The sequence below is a fragment of the Homo sapiens genome, chromosome 4 (genome assembly GCF_000001405.40).
Source record: "Homo sapiens chromosome 4, GRCh38.p14 Primary Assembly".
Taxonomy (NCBI): Eukaryota; Metazoa; Chordata; class Mammalia; order Primates; family Hominidae; genus Homo; species Homo sapiens.
Window position 1 is genome coordinate 32,534,479 of NC_000004.12, and position 26,200 is coordinate 32,560,678.

The 26,200-nt window shown below is 33.3% G+C and overlaps 1 long non-coding RNA gene across 1 annotated transcript in view; it reads right to left on the reverse strand.

Annotated features, from left to right (window-relative positions):
• The window catches only part of LOC107986223 (uncharacterized), a 123,399-nt gene extending 97,411 nt beyond the window's left edge, over nucleotides 1-25,988 (reverse strand). The window contains exons 1-2 of the long non-coding RNA XR_001741503.1: nucleotides 25,542-25,988; nucleotides 16,389-16,507 (exon numbers count right to left, since the gene is read on the reverse strand). This is a non-coding gene — a long non-coding RNA (uncharacterized LOC107986223). The remainder of the gene's footprint in view (nucleotides 1-16,388; nucleotides 16,508-25,541) is intronic.
• Nucleotides 25,989-26,200: the final 212 nt, after the last annotated feature.

Sequence of the window (26,200 nt, forward strand, 5' to 3'; positions counted from 1 at the left end):
AAATGCAAATCAAAACTACAATGAGATATCATCACATCCCAGTTAAAATTACCTATATCTAAAAAATAGGCAATAAAAAATGCTGGCAAGGATGTGGAGAAAAGGGAACCATTGTACAGTTTTGATGGGAATGTAAATTAGTACAACCACTATGGAGAAAAATTGGGAGGTTACTCAAAAACTAAAAAGGGGGCTGTCATATGATCCAGCAATCTCACTGCTGAGTATACGACCAAAAGAAATGAAATCAGTATACTGAAGAGATATCTTCACTCCTATGTTTATTGCAGCTCTGATTACAATAGCTAAGATTTGGAAACATCCTAAGTTTCCATAAATAGATACACGAATTAAGAAAATGTGGTACTTATACAAAATAGAGTACTATTCAGCAATAAAAAAATAATGAGATCTAGTCATTTGCAATAAAATGAACATAACTGCAGGTCATTGAAGTGAACTGAAGTGAAATAAGCCAGATACAGAAAGACAAATATTGCATGTTCTCACTTATTTTTGGGATCTAAAAATCAAAACAATGGAACTCGTGAGCATAGCGAGTAGAAGGATTATTATCAGATCCTATGGGAAAAGTAGTGGAGGACTGGAGGGAAGGTGGAGATTGTTAATGGATACAAAAAAAAAAAGAAAGAATGAATAAGACCTAATATTTGATAACACAATAGCATGACTATAGTCAATAATGACTGTATGTTCTAAAATAATTTAGAGTTTAATTGGATTGTTTGCAACTCAATGTATAAATGCCTAAGGGGATGGATACCCCAATTCTTCTTGATGTGCTTATTTCATATTGCATGCCTGTATGAAAACATCTCATGTGCCCTATAAATATACAAACTTACTATGTACCACCAAAAATTAAAAATAAAAATAAATTTCAAATAAATTATATAAAACACCTGGATACGAATATGCAAAGAATGAAGTGGTACCTTTCCACTCCAAAATACAAAATTAACTCAAAATGGATCATAGACTTAAATGTAAAACCTAAAACCATGAAACTTTAAAAAAAAATAGGAACAAATACTTTGTGTGTTCTTGGATATAACACCAAAAGCAGAATAAACTAATTTTAAAAACTACATAAATTGAACTTCATCAAAGTTAAAAACTTTTGCTCTGCAAATGATACCATCAATAAAGTGAAAAGATAAGCCATAGGCTAAAATACATTTGCAAATCATATATCTCATAAGAAGTTGTATCTAGAATATATAAATAATCTTACAACTCAAAAATAAAAAGATAAACACACCAATTTAAAAATTGGAAAAGTTTCTAAAGAAATGTTTCTCTAAAGAAAAGATACAAACAGCCAAGAAACATACATCAATAACATGAGATATTCAACCTTATTAGTCAATAGGGAAATGAAAACCAAAACCACAATGAGTTACCTCTTTACACCCCTAGGATGTCTATAATAAAAAGACTGATAATAGTACATGTTGGTAAGAATATAGATAAACTGGAAACTTCATTAGTATTTTTCTGTTGTGACTAGTTTGGAAGCTCCTCAAAATGTTAAACATAGGGTTACCACATAACCTAGGAATTTCTTTCCTAGGTATACCCAGGATAAATAGAAGCACATCCATGCAAAAACTTGTACATGAATATTTATGGCAGTCTTATTTATAATAGATAAGAGGCTGAAACAACCTAAATGCCCACAACTGACAAGTGGATCAATAAAATGTGAGATATCAATTAAAAAAAATAACATTCAGCAATAAAAAGGAATAAAATAGTAACACATAGCACGACATGGAAAAACACAAATGAAAACATTCTAAGGAAGAGATACAAGTATGTTAATTATGTCCTAATAATGTTGCTTTAAAAAAGGGGCAAAGCACCCTCAATAAAGCAGATGCAGATCTATATGAACAACACTTTGAGTAACATTGCTCAAGTTGCTTGATTCGTCTATTTTCTTCTTTTTTTTTCTTGGTCTTCAACACATTTTCCTGAGCTTGGAAGAGATGCATTACTCTACCACTTCTTTGTCTCTTCCCAGTGGAGTTATTTTTACACAAACAAACAAAAAAGTCCTCAATCACTCAGTAGTGACCAGTTTCCCAATTCTCAGGATTTGTTTCCATTTTTTGATTCCATAATATTGCTGGCAAAAAAAAACCTACCTCACTACAGACTGCCAATATTTCAAAAAAATATGCCTTTGAACTTTTGTAAATATCAAGCCACTTAACAGGTTTTATTTAAAACTTTTCTTTAAATATCTCAGTTTTATATCTTATCAATTATTGCAAAATTCTAATAGCTCCTCAAGTTCCAATCTTCATCACATTCAGCAAAAGGCATTATGTCCTGCTTAATCTGATAATTAGAGTGATTAGGCATTTATTTCCCATCTCCAGCTTCATCCCATACCTGCAAACCTAAATTAAAGCATAGTTATAACTTTTTTTGTTCAGTACACACAGACCCTCTGTTTTTGACTTAACCCTTACAGTACTCTCTTTCATATCCTTTTATAAATTAACTTTGTCAGCCTCATTCTCTTAGCCTGTGATCATATACATTTTACCAATATTAGCCTACAAAGGTTCTTATGTTCCTTATCTATTGGCCCCAATAAACAAAGAAAAAAAAATTTAAACTTACTTTTAAAATGTCCCTTCACCCTCACATTAGTGATAATTACATTTGATGCTAATTATTGAAATACCAGTCTCCAGTAGCTTATACACAGAGATCAAATGTATTTTCTCACATAACCAGGAGTCTTGATAAAATCATTACAAAATTAACATTGTATTTCATTCATTGTATCATCAGTCCAGTTTTTAAAGAGTTTTTTTTTAATTCTAATGTCCCTATTATGTTGACTTTTGCCATCATATTTGTTGCCTCATCTTTACAAGACGGGCCACATACAATCATTTCTACTTTTGCATGTCAGGGATGAAAAGGAAGAAAGTGATGAAGCCTATGTTTAAAAAGCCAAAGTTTTTTCCAGATTTCTCAAAAAGACTTCTACCTACATATTAAAAGTTAACAGATATTTTCCTATGGCCACCTCCAAATGAAAGGTTCTGGGAAGGATAGACATTTTAGCTAGAAACCTTGCTGATACATTAGTTTCTATTGCTGTATAACAGACTACCAGAAACTTAATGGCCAAAACAATATCCATTTATTAGCTCATATCTATTTAGGTCAGAATTCTGGGGGAAATCAACATGTTTATCTGTTTAGGGTATCACAAGACCAGAATCAGTGTACTGGCCAGGTGGAAATCTTATCTCGAGGCTCTGTGGAATAACTGCTTCCAAGCTCATTTTGGTAGCTGCCAAAATCCAGTTCCTTGTGATTAGAGGTCTGGTTCCCCATTTCTTCACTAGCTGTCATCTGGTAATGTATCTCAGCCCCTTCAGGCAACCCACATTTCTTCTCACAAGCGCTCCTCCATCTTTAAATCAGCAATGAAATGTCAAATCTTTCTCATGCTTTGAATCTTTCTGACTTCCTCTTCTACTACCAGCTGGAGAAAACTCATTGCTATTAAAGGACTTATGTGATTACAATGGTCTCACCTAGATGATCTGTCTACCTTAAGGTTGACAATGACATATAACACAATCACAATCAAGGGAAAGATAGCTCATCACATTCACAGGTCTCGCACACACTCAAAGAAGGGGGAATTATACAAGTGTAAAGATATCAGGTCCTTCTTAGAGCTTTATCAACCACAGCTTCCTTGATAAACATCAAATTTTGTTATAAAACAGAAGGTGAAAATGGTTATTGGATAAGGAACAAAAAATGCCTGCTATAATCTACAGATCTATATTTAAATCACTCCTTTCCTATTCAATCACTTAAAAACACCATCTATACTTGCTGACTTGATTTCCAAAGTAATTTTTTATAATTATCTCCTTGACCTGCCCAAATCTGCCTTCTATCCCGTTATACCAATTAATATTCCATAGAAGGAGTTACTAAAGATCGCCAGGTAGAAAATCCAGGAAATGGTTTCCAGTCTTTATTTGTTGATTATTTCTTTAAAAGGTTAGCGCTAGTAAACTTTCTTTCTTGGTGAAATGGTAATCCCTAAATTAATATCACATTTTTGACTTCATGGTTTATTCCTACCTGACCAGTTTTCTGTTTTTATGGGCCAGTTATATAGCATATAATCACAAGGTGACCTAGGAGGGATTACTGTAGAAGCTTAGAATGGTTGATTTATGTACATCCTTTTTCATTCTTCCTGGGAGAGGCAGCAGGAATGGGAAAGAATGGGGGTTTGCTTCTACCTAGAGCAGAGGATATGGTACCCTGGGTTAAAGGGCCAAAAATTTCTGTGCTTCTGGCAATGTTTATGTATGGAATGAAGTATTCCACTCAGTTCTATGCCATGACTCTTCTCCATTTACACAGCAAACAACTAGCAGTTCTTCTGATCCCACACATGCCTAGACTGACTGTGCAGATTCAACAGAAAGATAGACCAGGCCGGGCGCGGTGGCTCACGCCTGTAATCCCAGCACTTTGGGAGGCCGAAGGGGGCGGATCACGAGGTCAGGAGATCGAGACCATCCTGGCTAACACGGTGAAACCCCGTCTCTACTAAAAATACAAAAAATTAGCCGGGCGTGGTAGCGGGCGCCTGTAGTCCCAGCTACTCGGGAGGCTGAGGCAGGAGAATGGCGTGAACCTGGGAGGCGGAGCTTGCAGTGAGCCGAGATCGCGCCACTGCACTCCGGCCTGGGCGACAGAGCGAGACTCCGTCTCAAAAAAAAAAAAAAAAAAAAGGAAAGATAGACCAGGACAACTCAACTACAAAGTGAGCATATAACCAAGAATTACGAGATATTAAAGTCAGCATCATAAAAGAGGAAAAATAGAAAAGTTGCAGGAAATAGAGTTAATAGATAAATGAACAGTTACTAGATAAACTGAAAGTGATCATGGAGTAATAACATAATAGATAAAATAAGTATATAATAGACACAGTAGAGAAGCATATTATGAGCTAGAAGACAAAGTTGAGGAATATTCTAAGAGCAGGTTATAAAGGCATATGAACATGGAATTTATGCAAAAAAGTTCTAAATCGGAAAAGAACTCTTAGAAGTTGCAACATTTGCCTAATAGAAAGAAAAAGAGACAAGAGAGAAAAATGTAAAGTTAACACTCAATACGAGATGAGAATGGATCAGAAATTAAGGAAAAACTTTACTCTCAGACATTTTGAACACTCAGGAAAGCAGAAAATCCTACATATCCTTAAAGGGGGAGAATTACAGTTAATCTATATAGAGACAATAAAAGTGATATATGTATTTGTTAATATCTATCTATCCATCTATCTATGTTATTTTCAACACTGAATGTCATATTAGAAGACAGTGGAACAATATCTTCAAAATTATGAAAAAATAATTTAAAGCATATATTCCACTAGGCAGCCAAACTATATTTAAAAATATATATTAAGATATACGAGAACACTGTCTGACATAATTTTGAAGGATGTTCTTCAGATAGTTAGAAAAAGTTTTTCTAGGAAAAAAAAGTATTATTTCCCCAAGTAAGAATTTCATTTTCAGAATTCAAACATAAAAATGACTTTCTTGAATTGGACAGAAACATTGATAGTAAAAAAAAATTATTTACATTTTTATACCTCCCTTGGAATAAGACAGGCACCTCCAATTCTATTCCTATGTGAGTATACATCATGCCAGAATAGAATGTATAATATGTGCAAACAATGTTAAAAATCCAAATGCTAAAATATTAGGAACCATTTATATCTTACTGCTTTTACAGTGCATATCAATGAATATAGTGTTGTCTCTGCTTATTTTCAGTATTAATTAGCATTTAATTTCCAAAAAATAGTTATATATATTTGTGATAATTTAAGAGATAAATACTTTTCACTATGTAAAACTGAAGTATAGAACTTTAACTCCAAAGAAAATATAAAATATATGACTCTAAAATTTGCTGAGGAGGCCCTATGAGCTTTGAAAACAAAGATTAATCAAAGTAAAATCAATTTGCAATTATCTGTGTGAGATTTTATGTAATTACCATGATCCATCCATATATACTCTGTGTGAGACTGGACTCCAAACATTTTTGGTAGTGTTCAATATATCTCTTTCTTGTTTTCTTTCTATTACCCTTAGGATACAACAGGATAATAAAATACTAATTTTTTGGATTTTCTTAGGTGCAAATTAACTGAACCAAATAAAAAAAATGCTTTGGTTCAAGCAATTGAGGATTCTAAAAGAGGAGATTTTAGGCTTAGCCGTTCAAAAATTACCAGGAAGCTTTTAGCATGGCTCTCCTATTATAATTCTCCTGCCCTGGTTCTCAGGCTTAAATAGTCACAGTTTTACATTCCCAGTAGCAAGAGCAGGACTTTTTCTGTTAGTGCTAATAGGATTTCTCATATAAATCTCATCATTACACTTTGGATCAAATACACAACCTCAGACCAAACATTGCAGCCAAAGAGATGGCATAACTTCACTGGACAAACTTTGGTCTTATCATAACTAGAATCAGAATCATATGAAACATATAGGCCGAGAAGCAAATATAACAAAACAAAAACATATACCCACTAAAAATTTTCAGCCTCTGCCTTCATAGGACTTTCTTTCCATAATGAACATATGATACCAAATTAATGCATACAAATTATCCATAAAATATAGACTTCATATGTGTGAGGAAGTATTATTGCATCGCGTACGAGAGACAAATGAAGGAAGACTTTTTTCCATGTATTTCAAGGAAAGGTATACAAACAAAATTGTTTATAAGCCATGATAAACAATGACATATTATCAAATCTTAAGCATTTATACTTTCTATTATTTTTATAGAAATTAATCATGTGCTATAAAAATCAAAAATCTAAAATATTTTAGTTAATATTAGATCATTAATGCATATTTTACTTCGAATGAGTAACATTTATTCTAGCATTTAAACATAATTAACTACATTTAGGCTTCTCAAGTTTTTTGCACATAGTAAAAAATATATATTTTGATGAAGAGTGTTATAGACAATGTTTGTGCCCCCTCCACCAAATTCGTTGTTGAAACCTAATCCTCAATGTGATCGTATTTGAAGATGGGTGTCTTTGGAAAATGATTAGCTCATCAGGGCAGAGCCTCATGAATGGGATTAGCACTCTTATAAGAAAGACCCAAGAGTACTACCTCATCCCCTTTAGCCATGTGAGCATGCATGAACCAAAACGTAGATCTTCACCAGACACCAAATATGTTAGCTCCTTGTTGTTGAACATTCCAGCCCTCAGAACTGTGAGACATAAATTTCTATTGTTTATAAGCCATTCATTTTATGATATTCTGTTATAGCAGCCCAAATGGACTAAAACAAATTACTAATAAATTTTATTGTTTGTTTCATATGCCATGACTCGGATCCTGCTTCCTTCACAGTAGTTCAACATTGTTAACACTATCTAAAGTTTCCTAGGTCAAAATATTCCCTTTCCTAACCCCACTGTAACAAACTTCAAGCAAATTATGAACAACTTCCTCTATTTGGTTAATTTCTATTTTGAGTGTCTTATTTTATACAGATATGTGTGAGGGGGCAGGAGGTCATGTCTCAAAAAATCAAAATCTGAAAATCTAGTAGATAGGCACTGTCACACATGTGGTATTACAGCTGGCTTAAGACGGCTTTATATTTTCTTAGCATACAGCAGCCGCAATACATTCCACCTATGTGTATGTCTTGAATACATGCTTAAATATGAGAAATCAATGAAAATTACAAATAGCCATCTTAAGCTTATTTGCTTTAGTTTTCTCAAGAATTCTTAATTTACTTTGGCTATCACCTATTTTGTCATGTTTAAGATCCTCTAGTCCTGGATGTGTCTTATACCTCAGGCCCCTTCTGGACTCTTGGATTTGGTAATTGATATGTTTCTCTTTAATCAATAGCAGTGACCCAGTAACCAATGTTCTCTAAAAGTAGTGCTAGGATTCCATCACTGACTTTTAATACTCTTGGCTGATAGGACTAACCATCTCACCTTAGTAAAAAATCCAGTGGCTGTTCTGATGGTCTTAGCAACCAGCTAAGCTCTAGGACTGGGTATTCCTGTATGATAGACATCAGGGCATTTGACAATATGTCCAGGAGTAACAACTAGGCTCAAATTTAAGAATTAATAAGTGTGTAAAGAAGCTGCAATTCTCTTCAATAAAAAATCTGAAGTGAATTGATTGCATTTTAGTCAACTGTTCATAAAAAAAATTGTAAAAGAAGGATTGAGAGAAAGATTTCACAAGCTTATCATGCACCATTTTTGTTATGTCAACCTCAAATGGTTTATTACGTTGAATTTTTAAAAAACATTTTATCTTAATGACTGTGGTTGGATACAACTTCATGATATATATATATATATATATATATATATATATATATATATATATATATATATTGCAATCAGCATAAATTTAGGTGTTACTTCTAGAATTTACTGACTTTACCTTGTAGAAGATGCTAATACGTGCTATCCAGAGTTTCTGCATAGAGAAGGCTTTCATTTCCAAAACTGCTGGAAATGTCACCTACTGGTGCCTGACTGCTGAAGCTCCCCAGTAAGCAATGTTCTCAGCTGGAGAGCACTAATATGAAAAATTATCCCCTTATATATGTTGGCGCTGTGTGCCCACCCAAATCACATTTGGAATTGTCATCCCCACATGTAGAGAGAGGGACCTGGTGGGAGGTGATTGGATCAGGGGAGTGGTTTACCGCATGCTGTTCTCATGATAGTGAGTGAGTTCTCATGAGATCTGCTGGTTTAAAGGTGTGGCACTTCCACTCTTGCTCTCTCCTCTGCCACCGTATAAGACATGCCTTGCTTCCCTTTCACCTTCTGCCATGATTTTAAGGTTCCTGAGGCCTCCCCAGGCATGGGGAACTGTAAGTAAATTAAACCTCTTTACTTTATAAATTACCTAGTCTCAGGCAGTATGAAAATGGATTAATATAGAAAATTGGTACCAGAAGTTTGGGGCACTGGTATAAAGACACCAGAAAATGTGGAAGCAACTTCAGAACTGGGTAATGAGCAGAGGTTGGATCAGTTTGGAGGGCTCAGAAGAAGACAGAAAAATGTGGGAAAGTTTTAAACTTCTTAGAGATTTGTTGAATGGTTTTGACCAAAATGCTGATAGGGATATGAAAAAGGAAGTCCAGGCTGATGTGGTCTCAGATAGAAGTGAGAAACTTATTGGGAACTGGAATAAAGGTCACTCTTGTTATGCTTTAACAAAGAGACTGGCAGCATTTTGCCCCTGCCCTGGAGAACTGTGAAACTTTGAACTTGAGAGAGACGATTTAGAGTACCTGGAAGAAGAAAATTCTAAGCAGCAAAGCATTCAGTATGTGACCTGGCTTTTCCTGAAAGCATATAGTCATATACATTCATAAAGAGATGGTCTCAAAGTAGAACTTATTTTTAAAAGGGAAGCAGAGCATAAAAGTTTGGAAAATTTGCAGCCTGATCATGTGGTAGAAAAGAAAAACCCATTTTCTGGGGAGAAATTCAAGGCACCAACTGCAGAAATTTGCATAAGTAACAAGGAGCAGAATGTTAATAGCCAAGAGAATGGAGAAGAATGTCTGCAGGGCATTTCAGAGATCATCATGGCAGCCCATCCTATCACAGGCCTAGAGGCCTAGGAGGAAAAATGATTTTGTGGGCCATGCCTAGGGCCCCACTACTCTGTGCAGTCTCGAGGCATGGTGCCCTGTTTCCCAACCACTTCAGCTCCAGCTGTGGCTAAAAGGGGCCAAAGTAAAGCTCAGGTCATTGCTTCAGAGGGTGCAAGCCACAAGACTTGGTAGCTTCCATGTGCCTGAGGGTATGCAGAAGATAAGAGTTGAGTTTTGAGGGTCTCCATCTAGATTTCAGAGGATGTATGGAAACACCTGCATGTCCAGGTAGAAGTCTTCTGCGGGGGTGGGGCTTCATGGAAAACCTCAACTAGGGCAGTGTGGAGGGGGAAATGTGGTGTTAAGGCCCCTACATAGATTCCCAACTGGGGGACTGCTTAGTGGAGCTGTGAAAAGAAGGCCACTGTCCTCCAGATGTCAGAAAGTTAGATCCACTGACAGCTTGCATCATGCTCCTGGAAAAGCCACAGGCACTCAACACCAGTCTTTGGAAGCAGCCATGGGGCTGTACTCTGCAGAGCCACAGGGGCAGAGTTGCCCAAAGCCTTGGGAGTCCACCTGTTGCATCAGCATGCCCTGGATGTGAAACAGGGAGTCAAAGGAGATAATTTTGGAGCTTTAAGATTTAATGACTGCCCTTCAGGGTTTCAGACTTGCATGGGGCCTCTAGCTCCTTTGTTCTGACCAATTTACCCCCTTTGGAATGGGTGTATTTACCCAATGCCTATACCCCCACTGTATCTCAGAAATAAGTAACTTGTTTTTGATTTACAGAATCATAGGCGGAAGGGACATGCTTTGTCCTTTGGACTTGGACTTTGGATTTATGTTGGAATGAATTAAGGTTTTGGGTGACTGTTGGGAAGGCACGATTGTGTTTTGAAATGTGAAAAGTGGATGAGATATGGGAGGGGCCGGGGGCAGAATAATATGGTTTGGCTCTGTGTGCCCTCCCAAATGTTATCTTAAATTGTAATCCCCACATGTCAAGGGAGGGATCTCATGAGAGGTGATTGCATTATGGCGGCAATTTCCCTCATGATGTTCTCAGGATAGTGAGATCTGATGATTTAAAAGTGTGGCACCTCCCCTGTCACTCTCTGTCTTGCCACAGTGTAAGACATGCCTTGCTTCCCCTTCACCGTCCACTCTTCTCAGCCATGTGGAACAGTGAGTCAATTAAATCTCTTTTCATTATAAATTACTCAGTCTCAAGTAGTTTGTTGTAGCAGTGTGAAAATGAGCTACTACATCCTTCTTTCCCCAAACAGCCCACATTCAATGATTGGTTAATATGGAAATATAAAGGATTGGCTGGCTGGTCTTAATTTAGGACACATTGGAAAGATCATTCTGGCTTCAGAATTCTTTATAGGGTTGAAAAAAATAATGTTGCAATTGCATTACAGTTCAATTATTGCTTCTGCCAAATCCTGCTTCTCTTACTCATTGAAATATGTTTTGCCTGAGAGGGTTGCTATAACCTGCATGGAAGCAAACCCTGATCTCCCAGCCTGTGTCTCAGGAGTGCCACCAACAAAATATTAATTTGAATTGTGGATGACAAGAGTGAAAGACACTGGATCTAATTAATTAATTTAAATGTATTTGATTTCAAATTCAGATGACATTAGGTAAAGCACATTTTATGCAACTTTTTTCGCCTATTTATGAAAAATAAAGAATTCAAAATCATTTTATTTGCATAGAAAAACATGTACGGAACATAAATGTTACATCAATTTTCAAGGTAGAAATGATCATAAGTTGTTATAATAATAAAAAATCTTTAAGCATTTAGTTTTTGTCCCTGTTGACTTAAATTGAATGCCTGCCAGAAAATATACTCCTTTTTTAAAAAAATTAAGGTACGATTTTCTTTAATTGTGCTGCTTGAGAGCTGCTACAGAAATGCCTAATGAAAGTACCACATATAATAAAATCAGTTCACTTCAGAGTGCCATCTCTCTTCTTTTTTCTAGGCAGGCACTATTCTTGTGAATCATGAGTTTATATTTCTTTGTGGTTCTATTAACATTAACTTACAAAAAAAATCTCAAATCATTTAGAAGGCTTTTTGTGGAAAGGTAACAGTAATTTTCTAAGTTATGTTTAATATTTTTAATTACTTTAAATTTCCTAGATACATATCTTTAATTATTTGAGATGCATATATTTGTGTCATCAAATGAAAATGCATGTATTCTGCAATGTGCATTTTCTTGTGTAAAAAGTTTGAAAATAATTTTTAAATCATAAAAATAAAAATTTGCATGCAAATCTATTGTTGAGATAAGATTTATAATAACAGCTGCAACTTTTGTTTGTGCTTATTTTACTATGTGTGTTCCTTTCTAAAATGTGAAAGTCCAGAAATATTGGGCTTTTTACCCATCATCACTACTTATCACTATAGTGATAGACCATCACTATGGTCTATCAAACAAGCAGTGCCAATTTATCAATGTGTGGTCATAAATGTTTGTTAAATTATTAATTTTATACACAAGTTAAAGGGTGATTGACTAATATATTTTCTCAGGGTTCAAAATAGTAATAATTGGGATTAATAAATGTGTAGATTGAGAAAGATAAAGAGAGAGACAAAGAGAGACGAGAAAGTAATAAATTCCAGGTTTCTGGCTTGAACTAGGTAGAGGCTGGTTCCATTTACTTAGAGTGGAGAAGCATGGGAATTAATATTAGAATGTTACAGGCATACAGTTTTGGAATTGGGAATTGTTTAGACAAACTGAATGTGATAAGCCTATTAATTAGTTAGAAATAAATGTTAATAAAAATACAAAATTCTGGATAAGTGATAAGTTACACTAGAATGCTTCGAAACAAGTTAGACGGTGATATTACAAAATGGGAATCTTTATATAGCCTTCAGTATCTTGACCATTGCCTTGAAAATACAAGTATAATAACTTGTATTAAGCAAAATTTTCTTAATGAACCATTAAGAAATCCCAGTAATCATTAACTGCATAAGCTTTCAAAATAAATAATGATGTGAAGTATTATTAAAGGCTAAAATTAATGTTAATGTGAAATAATGGTTTTAGAAGTTGCCAGAAAATATCAACCACAGGAGCCACAGGTTACTGAAATTCACATCTGCTTCTATATCTAAATGTATACATAAATTATTTATCATTCTGTCTTTGGAATATCCTGTTGTTATCTTTTTTTTTCTGAGTACTTTGCTGCTCTGAACAAATTCCAGGTACTTGTTAGTAAGAAGGCAGGGGAAAAAATAGAGGGTAGTTAACTATCTGTGTTTACTATAAGAAGAGCAAGAATTGCTCAATTTAGGAATAAATACAAGTATTTTCAGACACGCTAGATTTAAACTCATATGACTGAGCCATTTCTCTTATGAATATATATATTCCCTTATGAATATATATGAATATATATTATCTAAACATAAATATATATGTTCACTACGAGTGTTTAGAATTCATATATATATATATATATATATATATATATATATATATATTTACTAGGAATGTTTAGAATTCTCTTATTTATCCAGCATACTGTTGTGTATGCTCTCCTGGCCCATCTTGGCCCATTTTAGACCTTGGTTTTGGATTCAGAACCAGTTAGGCTCAGTCTTCAGTTTAAATACTCAGCTCCCACTACAGCATCTGGATGACGGGGTATTGTCCCTGGCTGCAGAAAAACCTACAAAATATATTTTGAATAATTATAGCAATGCCACTTGATTTTAATTATAATTAAAAGCTGGTTGAACAATGTAGAATTTTTATTATAAAATAAGGCAGAAGGAAACTGTAAAAATAAGTAAATTTTATGTGTCACCTTAAATAGTCCTTTTAACATATGGTAGTTGTGGATTATTTTCACAGTTCACAGGTCTGTGAATACGACAGTGAACATATTTTTGAGCTCCAAGCGTCTCAAATGAAAATAGTCATAATTTGAAATAAATAATATCCAGCACTGATTAAAAATTGTTTTACTTATCTATTCACAGACTGTCTGCTACTAATATAATTATACTGTATCTTCATAATGATTCTTGCCACTTATATTGAGGTAGTGGGGGAGGAAAATTAGAGGGAACCAGTTGGACTAATAGAGGTAATGAGAAAAAGGCAAAAGGCACAAGTCAAAAATATAAAATGCAAACAAGAAATGGAAAATAAATATTTCCATGAGCATTATAAATTTAAATTGATCAGTTCAATTAATTTCTATTACCTAAAATCTTTATTTTATCCATATCACTAATGCAATTTTATGCATTTTTCCAAATGTATGTTTCGTATATTGGTATATAAACTCCATGAAGATACTACCTCTGGCTCTGTGGTTTATTTGCACCAATTAACTGAATGAATGGACCAAAACAGGAATAATAATGATTGGCAAATAATTATTGGCTAAATGGAAGAAATAATACAAAAGTGAGGGAGCGTCTGCCTTTACCCAAGGGGTCCAGGAAAAACTTAAAAAGGGAAGAAATTTGAGCTGGATCTATGATGGTGCATAAAAAAAGAGAAATTGTAATATGTGGAATATATCTATATACAAATGTCAAGAACATTAATAATTAAAGTGAGCTAAGGTATAACACAAGCCATATTAAGGGCTAGAAGAAGAAAACATGAAGAGACAAGACACTATGTATATAGTGGACTATCACGTATGAAGCCTCCATAATACTTCTTTAATGACATGGAATAATCAAAATTATTAATAAAAGAAATAATTTATTTTAATTGTAAAATAAATGAAATGAAGAAACAAGAAAGACTTAATATTCTTAATTTTAATTTTTTTCTAGATTAAAATCTAAGTGAAAGGTTAAAATCTTTGGCCAAAGCATAAAAGTTACAGATATTCTATTTTTATGATCAAATTTTAAGAATAAGAATAACATATAAATTGAATGTGGAATCATAGAAAAACACAAAAAACAAAATATTAAGAAAGTCATAAAATTCTATTACTCAGAGACATGCATTCTTAATGTCCTGACATAGATATTTCCATGTAAATAGCTCTTTGAAATGCCCATCTCTTAGTTGTATTTAGCTATGTTTTTTTTGAAAATTTTCTCTATGAAATATACAAACTAATGTTCATAGAAAGATATGTTTCATGAATAATAGACTACTTTAAAAAAAAAGTCTGTCATTTCTCTGCTGCATTGGTTAAATGAATGCAAATCCAAATCAGGTCTGTTTGTATCAAATATTAGTGCTATTATATTATCATCAAAGTTATTTCAGTGAAATGAACATTTTATAAACCAACAAAATATGAATGCATAACTGTGTTTTTCTTATGGAAGCAAAACTACATACTTTAGAATTGTTAGATAAAAATTATTCACATTTGTAAATTGAACTGAAGACACATGAGACATTTGTAGAAGGTTAGGAAAAAATGAATTGAAACCTAGACTTTCTGGTCACACTGCTTCACAAATTCTAAACTCAGACAAACCAAACTTTAAAATGATAGATGATGGATTATTATTTTAGTTTTTAATAGGAAAATTCTTAGAAAGACAATAGGCAAACCATATTCTAAGAAAATCGATGACCTTGAGTGAAAGATAGGTTACAAAAATAATGGAGTAAGTTCATTTCTGCACACTTTCCTTCCCGGCAATTTTCCATCCACAGAAATGATAAACAGAAGTATAATCTGCAACTAACCTCAGACAAAATTAGCAGTAAATAGTTATCCAGAATGAAAGAGTAATATAAAAGTCTCAGAAGCTTGGAACCATGGGAAAAGGGTACATGAGTGAATAATAACGGTTTGTCTAGATATAGTTCAATGCCAAAAGAAAGCATTGTATACAGAATGGAATGAAAAGTATATCAGTTAGAAAATGATAGATTAGGTGAGTTATAGTAAAAATTAACCCCCAAATCTCAGTGGTTTTCAACAACTTAATAAAATTTCAATTTTGTCCTCACTAGATATGCACTAAAGCAAATCTCATGGCAGTAATCATTGCCAATCTTATAACAGAGAAAAAAACAAAACAAAACAACAACAAAAAAATGGCCAGATTACTTGCTGGGTCTTGAAAATTCTACTTAGATAATAAATGTATCTTTCATCCATATTTCATTGATTAACATATGCAAAGATAATGCTAATATCTACTGGGAGTGAGAATATAATCTTCCCTCAGAAATGAACAGAAATTGACTTGTAGATAATTGAGATATGTAATATAATATCTATTATTTACAGATAGTCTTTCACTGTTTATTTTGTTTGAAATATACACTCAGTTATGCTCCTTCAATAAGACAAACAAAAACCCTGCCCAATCATGTCATCACACTCAAAGACTTGGAATTAGTGGTTATATCTATAACAGGTAATATGTGTCTTCCCCTGATACAGACATCCATATACTAAGAAGACAACCAGTTCCTAGTTGCCTCACACTCCCTAGAGAGTCCTGCTCTCTCCACTACAGCATAGTATATTGGTGGAACAGGGACAGGGTAATGGCAATAAATACTTCAGCATGAGAAGAGAAAGAATGCGAGTTTCACAGCTAGTACTGGTCTATAAAAATTCTAAAATCTTGTTAGGAAGATAATGAGGAGGTCCCTTACCTTAGAGTGAGGAATTTGCATTGAACGTCTTCCCTGAGACTCATACCCTGAACCATTTTCCTCCCTGTGCTTAGGTGTGTTCTCATGGAGTCTTTCCTTTTCTATTACTTTCTTCAACTCTATGTAAAGATATTTAAAGGAAGTTAAGATAAAGGCTAAAATTGAGACACATAAGACAAGTAGCAGAAATGAACAAAGTTAAAAGAGATTCAATGGTAGTTTGCAAGGTAACTAAAGAAGAATCAACATCTTTATTTTTTGAAATTTTCAATGAAGAAAAGCATATTATTGTATAATTGAATAGAACAAAATTAAGATATTTTTCAAAGACAAGTCCTAAACTAAAAGAAGTTTTGTCTATCCATACTGAAATTGCACACCATGTACTTGGAAAAGTGGAAACAAATGAGCAACACTAAGCCAAGTCTCAGCAAGGTTACTTTATTTCAAGGATACAGATAAAATGTAATGGTCTGATTGGCATAAATATCACATTAGCAAGAAATGTGATAGGTGGACATAAGCTCCTTACTGCTCTTATTATGGCTATATTACCTGAGTTTTCCCTTTCAACTTCAAAATCTGTTGAAACAATCCTCCATAATAAATTATCATCGCTAGCATAAGCAGTGTGATTTCTGTCTTCCTAACTGATACACTAGACCAAATATGATAGTTAAACAGTTTGTTTTTCAGGAAATAATGTTTTCTTCACTGTATATTCATGTTTTATTCACTATATATACTTTTTTAAAATTAGACTCTGGTTCATAGAGACATTTTAGGTTAACATAAAAAATTAAGCAGAAGGAATAGCTTTTCCACATATTCTCTGCCCTGACACATGTATAGTCTCCCCCATTATGAACATAACTGCTTCTCAAGAGTGATACATTGATTGTAATTGATGAATACATTGACACATATTTATCATCTCAAGTCTATAGTTTACATTAGGATACACTCTTGGTTTTATGTAGTCTGTGGGTTTAGACAAATGTATAATGATATGTATCCACCATTACAGTATCATACTGAGTAGTTTCATTGTCTTAAGATTCTCTGTGTGCCATAGTTTTAGCCCCCTTACTCCTTTAACCACTGGCAACCACTATTTTTTTACTGCCTGATGTATACAGTTTATTTATTCATTCACCTGCTGAAGGACAACTTGGCTACTTCCATGCTTTGGCAATTATGACTAAAGCTGCCATTAAAAAAGCTGCCATGTGCAGGTTATTTTGTAGTCATAAATTTTCAACTCCTTTGAGTAAATGCCAAAGAACACAATTGCTTAGTTCTCTTATAAGTGTTTGTTTAGTTTTGTAAGAAGCCACCAAACTGCTTTCCAAAGTGGTAGTATCATTTTGCATTCCAATCAGCAATGAATAAGTTACTGTTGCTCCATATTCTCACCAGCATTTGATGTTGTTAGTTTTGGATTTTGGTCATTCTAATAGGCATGTAGTGCTATTTCATTATTGTTTTAATTATGACATATAATGTAGAGTAACTTTTCATATGCTTGTTTGCCATTTGTATATATTTTTTGGTGAGGTGTCTGATAAGGTTTTTGGCCCATTTTTTAACTGGGTTGTGTTCTTACTGTTTAATTTTAAATGTTCTTCATATAAATTCGATAGCAGCTTTTTATCTGCTATGTCTTTGCAATTATTTTCCCCCAGTCTATAGCTTGTCTTTTTTGTCTCTTGACAGTGTCTTTTGCAGAGCAGAAAATTCTAATTTTAATAAAATTCAACTTACCAATTCTTACATTCAGGAAGAATGACTTTGGTGGCATTTAAAAATTCATCACCAAACGCAAGTTCATCCAGATTTTCTCTTACATTATCTTTCAGGAGTTTTTATAGTTCTGTATTTTGTATTTAGATCTGTTACTTATTTTGAGTTAATTTGTGTGAAGTATATAAGGCTTGTGTCTAGATTCTCTTTTTTTTTTTCCATGTGGATAACAAGTTGTTCTAGCACTATTTCTTAAAAAGACTATCTTTTCTACATTGTATTGTCTTTGTTTCTTTGTTAGAGATCAGTTGACCACATTTATGTGGGTCTATTTCTGAGCTCTCTATTCTGTTTTGTTAGTCTGTCTATTCTTTAACCAATGTCCTTAACCACTGTCTTGATTACTGTTGCTTTATGGCAAGACTTGAATGCTATTCTGTTTTTTTTTTTTTCTTTCTTTCTTTTGCCTCTTCCTATACATTTTAGAAATAGTACATCAATATCCATTAAACAATATGCAAGGATTTTGATTGGAATTACGTTAATCAGTTTGAGAAGAGCTGATATCTTGATAATATTGAGCCTTCCTATCCAGGAACATGAAATCTCTCTCCATTTATATAGGTTTTATTTTGCTTACTTTATCATAGTCTTATTGTTTTCCTGTATAAATATTTTCTTAAATATCTACATAAGGATATTATTTTTGGAGAGAGTAATAATGTAAATGGTATTTTTAAAAATTTTAAATTCCACTTGTAAGTTACTGATATATAGAAGTGCAATTTACATTTTTTGTATTAACTTTTCATCTTGCAAGATTATCTGCTGTAATTGGTTATTATTTCCAGATCTTATTTTGTTGATTCTTTGGGAATTTCTATATAGATGGTCATCTCACTTGTGAAGTGAAAACAATTTTATTTTTTCTTTCCTTATGTATATATATTAATTTCCTTTTCTTATTGCATTAGTGAAGACTTCCAACAGGATGTTGAAAAACAATGGTGAGAAGGAATACACTTGCTTTTTTCCTGATCTTAGTGGGAAAGCTACTGGTTTCCACTAAGTATGATGCTAGCTGTAAGATTTTTGTAGATATCATTTATGAAATTAAGGAAGAGCTCCTCTATTTCTAATTTACTGAGAATTTTTAATTATAAATGGGTATGGCAGTTCACCAAATGCTTTTTCTGTGTCTATTGATATAAGCATAAAATTTTTCTTCTTTAGTTTGTTGATCAATTTTTCTTTTCTTTTCTTTTTTTTTTGAGACCGTCTTGCTTTGTCACCCAGATTGGAGTGCAGTGGTGCAATCTCTGCTTACTGCAACCTCTGCCACCTGGGTTCAAGCGATTCTCCTGCTTCAGCCTCCTGAGTGCCTAGGATCACAGGCACACACCACCATACCTGGATAATTTTTTTTTTTTTTTGTATTTTTAGCAGAGATGGGCTTTCACTCTGTTGGCCATGCTGGTCTTGTACTCCTGACCGCATGTGATCCACCCACCTCAGCCGCCCGAGGTTCTGGGATTGCAGACGTGAGGCACCACGCCCAGCCTTGTTGATAAATTTTTGAATGTCTAACCAGGCTTGAATGCCTGGGATAAATACAATTTGGTAATGGTGTATAATTGTTTTCATATACTATTGGATTCAGTTTGTTAATATTTTGTTGAAGATTTTTGCATCTATGTTTATGAAAGATATTTGTAGTTTTCTTTTCTTGTAATATATTTGCCTGTTTTAGTATTGGGATAATGATGGCCTTATAAAATGAGTTAGGAAGTATTATCTCTGATTCTAAATGTGAAAGAAAATGTAGAGAACTGGCAAAATTTCTTCCTTAAATGTTTGTCAGAATTTACAACTGAACATGTCTGGGTCTGAACCTTTCTATTTTTAGAGGCTATTAATTATTGACTTATTTCTTTAACAAATATAGGTTTATTCAGATTGCCTATTTCTTCTTGTATGAGTTTTGGTAGATTGTGTCTATCGAAGTATTTTTTCATTTTGTCTAAATTATAAAATTTGTAGACATAAAGTTAGTCATAGTTTTCTATTATTATCCTGTCAATGTCCATGTGATCTGTAGTGATGTTCCCTTTTACATTCCTGACTTTTTAAACTTATGTTCTTTCTCTTTTCCTAGTTAGCCTGTTTATAGGTTTTACTAATTTTATTGGTCTTTCCTAAGAACCAATTTCTAATTTGTTGGTTTTCTCCATTGATATCTTATTTTCAATTTCATTAATTTCTCATGACAATTTACTGCCTTATATTCCTATTAAAAATGGGAGAATGGATTTGGTTGAACAAACTAATCTTCACCATAGTGAGAAATTTAGAATTTAGTTTTCCAATGTTCAAATAGAATGGAATGGAATGGATATAAAATTTGAGAGTGCCAAACCCAAGTATTTGATCTGATCACTCTGAAAATACTATACATTGTATAGTTATGAAAATAAATATAGAATTAACATAAATTATTGTGATTGTATATAGAAGCTGAGGGAATTCAGGAAGTAAGACTTAAAGCTGTATGAATTAGCAGGTTAAAATTATGAGGGTCATCCTATAGATGCCAGACTCCTAGTCCATTCATTCTCAAACATTCCAGGTGCAAGATCTTTATATACTCTTAAATATTATTGAGGATCCTCAATAACCTTTGTTTATTGGTTATATCTACTGACACGTACCATATTGTAATGTAAAATTGAAAATTTAAAAATGTATTAATGTATAAGTAGGAATAATAGACTCACTCCTTGTTATCACACTTTCTGGGAACTGTTTTTACCAAAACAAAACTAAGTGAGAAAAGTGTCATTATTTTATTTTATTGCTTATTTATTTTTTGAGACAGAGTCTCACTGTGTCACCCAAGCTAGAGTGCAGTGGCACCATCTGGGCTCACTGCAATCTCTGCCTCCCAGGTTCAAACAATTCTCCTACCTCAGCCTCCCGAGTGGCTGGGATTACAAGGATGTGCCATCACACCGGTTTTTTTTTTTATATATATTTTTAGTAGAGATGGGGTTTCACCACATTGGCCAGGCTGACCTTGAACTCTTGCTCTAAAGTGATCAGCCTGCCTCAGCCTCCCAAAACACTGTGATTACAGGCATGAACCACTGTGCCCGGCTGGCTTTATTGTTCATTTTTACAAATTCCTTTGTTCTGACTTAGAAGATAGTTAGTTGCATTCCCATGGCTTTTGCCTGCATTTCATTCCTTAGAATAGCATATGTTATATTGCCTCTGGCAAACTCCACTGCACACTTGTGAGATATTACAAGTGAAAGGTAAATCCTATATTTATATTACTATGAAAAAAAGTTTGATCTACTGGACTCATTGAAGTGTCTCATCCTCTTCCCCGACAAGTCCCTGGACCACACATTAAGAAACACTGTCCTAGCCCATAGCTACTATTAACTTATGGCTGCATCACTAGGAAAACTAAGTAACTGTGTTTCTTTCTTTTATTCTTATATTTCTATACCCCACTGAATATAGTACATCTTCTCTATCGAAGATCCAGATGAATAATTTTTAAAATATATGAATTCAATAATGTCACTTTTCATTTTCAATCTTTTTGGTGATCTCCCATTTCTCTTATGACACAGACCAAAACAGCTACTTGAATCTGTCTCATAAGCCAGAAACTGCACAATTATTATCTTCCGGATTTATGGCACTGTAATAATTTAAAACATTATGTAATAGCTTTTGATTTGATAGGCCTTTAATAGCTAATTTAAAAGTGTTTACAGATATTCTGTTTATACTTCTCAATTTTAATACTGGTACTTCTCAAATTTACCCCTCTAACACTCAAGGCATGAAAATATCTATTTCTATTTTAATATAAAGTACTTAGTGTTGAATTTTCCAGTAAACTTAACCTGCATAAATAAAAAATAAAACACAATTGTTATTAAAACAATTTCAATACACTCTTGCCATATATTACCAAGTAATTATGAGATACTGTGTTTGACACTGATGCAAGTTACTGGTCACTGTTGCAGACTGAGTACTATTCCTCAGCCACAAAATAAAAACTGATATATGCAAAGTGCTGGTAATATAAAAAGTATTGCTATAAGGAAAAGTGTTGAAAGATTAAATGAAAAAATATACCTCCATAAAAAATGAAAATGATGATCATGGCTGGAAGTCAAGTAATACAATCAAAGATAAATTATTCAAGTCAACAAATTACTATCTATTTAATATTATTGCTAAAAGAGCCATCAACTTCAGCCTAAAAAAGTCAAGTTGGGCAACCCATTAAGCAGAAGTGTCTGATTATGTCCTCAGGATTCTCTTTGGAGAGTATACTAGTGTAGCGTGCATAAAAATATCCAAATTTGAAAGCCATAATGCCACATCAAGAAACGAGGAATAGAAATATTGTTCGTATATTTGGCCATAAAAGTTGCTTGAAAGAAAAAGGAGCATATGTCCTCAGTTATGATTCCATAAAGCTAATTGAACTGGCATTCTTAAAAGAATAATATGACAATGTTTTTATGTAATTTTGTTGAACATATAAATTTTGTTTTATATTTTTAGCTTAAATTGAATATTGTTCTATACAACTTTTAAGTATTATCATGAGAAGGATTTCCCTCTGAACAAGTTAGAAATATTATTTATAAAAATCTACAATATAAACAATATTTAAATCTGCTTACTGGAAATCTTTATGCAACATAAGTTTATTGAACTCATATATATCATGCCAACGATATGATATGCTCTACAGATACCAATCTAAATGTACCAGTTTTTCTTAGACTTATTATGGTCCAATGATATAAGAAATGTACATTTTGTTATTGTTATAATTATTAAAACTAATTAGTTCTATATACTGGAAACGTTCTTACATTTCATTAATTAAATTGAAACACATTTTTTGAATCTTTATAGCATAGATCAATAAAAATAAAATGTTATTACATTGTTTTTTATGTAAAAACTCTTCCTGAGATAATCCAAGTGACATTCCACAAGTATCAGTGTTTCTACAATTGAATGCTGTGCTACTCAGATCTTTGATTTAGATGGGAAATATCTATAAACAGATGTAAAATACTTTATCAAAACTAGTACATTATCCGTTTTGATGTCTGTAGTATCTTTAATGATGTCACCTCTATCATTCCTGATACTGAAAATTTGTGTCTGCTTTTCATGATCAGTCAGGCAAGAGCATTATTAATTTTATTGATATTCTCAAAGTATCAACTTCTGGTTTCATTGATTTGTTTATATTGTTATTTTGTTTTATATTTGATTATTTCTGTTTTTCATTTTTTCCTTTATTTTGCTTGCTTTAGGCTAATTCACTTTTTTTCATTTCTTAAGATAGAATCTTAAATTGTTGAATTTAAAGCCCTTATTTTTTTCTAACATAAAAGTAGAAAGCTATATAGTTTTATTTTAGTGATGGTTTAGTTGCAGCATATATATTTGGATATCTGAGGTTGATTTTTTGTCATTCAGTTTAAAATACACTACTTTCCAGTTTCAAATTTGATGTTTTAAATTTCTTTAACAGACATAGAAAGATGTAGATTATTCCTTGTTGACTGAGCTCTGGTAGTTTGTAACTTTTAAGGAAATTGTCCATTTTATCTATGTTATGAAATCTACTCTCATGTCTTAGTTATTATCACTATAAAGCAAATTGCACTTAAACTTAGCAATTAAAAAACAACAAACATTATCTCATAGAATTTCTGAGGAACGGGAATCCAAGAGCAGCTTAAATGGGTAGTTGTGGCTCAGGGTCTTTCATGAGACTATAATTAAGCTGTCAGATAAAGCTGCGATCATCTCAAAGCTCAAATGGGGCTGAAGAATCTCCTTCCAAACTTGTTCAGAGGATCATTAGCAGACCTCCATTTCTTTTGACTGTTGTTCAAAATCCTCTGAACACTTGGAGACAGGAAGGGGAACATCACACACCGGGGCCTGTTGGGGGGTGGGGGAGAAGGGGGAGGGATAGCATTAGGAGATATACCTAATGTAAATGACGAGTTAATGGGTGCAGCACACCAACATGGCACATATATACATATGTAACAAACCTGCACGTTGTGCGCATGTACCCTAGAACTTAAAGTATAATAAAATATATATATATGTGTATATATATATAGAAAAAATCCTCTGTCTCTCACTTTGTGGGCCTTTCCAAAGGCTGCCTAACTTTCCTCAAGACCTGGTTGTTGGCCTATCCTGAAAGAGAGAGAGCAAGATCTCAAAAGACTCAATCTGCAGTTTTCCATAATCCAATCTCCGATGTGATTTGCCATTGCTTCTGCCTTATGCTATTGGACACCCGGATCAACTGTGGTTTGCAATAGGCGTCTTTAACGTATTATATGCTTAATATCAATATTGTTCCATTTCATGTAAACTGTTAGAACATGATATGTCTTCCTTCAGCCTGAAGATCTCATTTGAACATTTTTCTTTAGCATTCAGATTTATTGGGGATACATTTATCTTTGAATTGTCAGGAAATATGTTTGTTTTACTTTCTCTTTAAAGAATAATCTTGTCAGGCATTGATTTCTAGATTGGCAGTGATTTTATTGTTTTTGCTTGTTAGTTTTTCTTTTAGCACTTTAAAAATCCTATTTATTTGTCATCTGGCCTCCACTGTTTCTGAGGAGTTATCATTTGTATCACTGTTCTCTATGTAATGTGACTTTTTTATTCTGGCAACATTTAAGCTTTTCTCTTTACTCCTGGTTTATAAGGTAAACTATAATATGTGTTTTGTCATTGTTATCCTATTTAGATTTCACTGACTATAAAAATGTATTAATGTTTTCTACCAATATAGGAAATTTTCAGTTATCAGTTTTTTTCAAATGTTAGATTAGGACAACCTTTATTGACCTGTTTTCCTTCAATTTACATTTTGCTATTAAATCTATCCCATAAATACTCATTTCAGATATATACTACTTACTTCTTGAATTTATACTGGTTTCTAATTTATTTATTTATATTTGCTTTATTGTTTTCTGAAATTCCCCATCTGTTCACTCATATTATCTTTCCTTAGGAGTTTTAAACGTGTTTAAAATAGATATTTTAAATTCTTTAACCATTAATTTCAATATTTCAGTTCCCAGAGAGTCTGTATCAATTTAACTAAAAGAATTATTTTTATGTAACATTTTTCTGCTTCTTCACATAACTCATAAATTTTGTTTCATGATGCACATTTTAAAAAATGCTTTATTGAGGTATGATTGACATATGAAAAATTATACCCGTTTAACATTTACAATTTGATGAGCTTGGAGATAAGTATATACCCCTGAAATCTGTAAATTTGCAAGTTACATCGAATAGTTTTATACTCACATTTAATAGTGTTGAATTTTCTTCTCGCAGGCAGCTTAATTAATAGCAGATCTTCTTGATCATTTTAGGTTTAATTTATTATTTGTTACAGCTGATGTATTTTTTATTTTCTCTTGGTCTTAGAGCATATTATTTACTATAGAGTACAGTTCTGACCACTTATTCTTTCTGAAGTCTCAGCTAAGTGACCAAGTTCTTTGGTGAAGTTTGCCTACCATGATTGAGCCAGAATTCCAACATTTTCCTGTTCTGCTCACTGTGTTGTGTCTCTATTCCGCTCTCAGTGCTGTGGCAGCTACTCTGCTATACGTTATGAAAATTCACCTTGCATATGCTGGATCAATCATGGACCAGGGCCGTGCAGACTTTTGAGTCCTCATTTTGCTCGTTTTTTTCTTTTCTGCCTCATCAGTTGAAGCTACGTAAGCAGCACAGAATTCTGATTTCTGCCTTCTCTACTAAGTGAAAGCACTTTGTTTTGCTTGCTCTCCACTTTCCCCTAGAATGTGACTCCAGGCAGAAAGCCAGGGAAAATGTGAGTCTCACGTTACATTTTTCCCTTCTGTCAAGAACAGCAGTCCTTCACTGGCTATTGTTTAATATCTGAAAAGAGTATCTCCTATATATTGTGTATTGTTTTACAATTGTTTAAGGTGAAG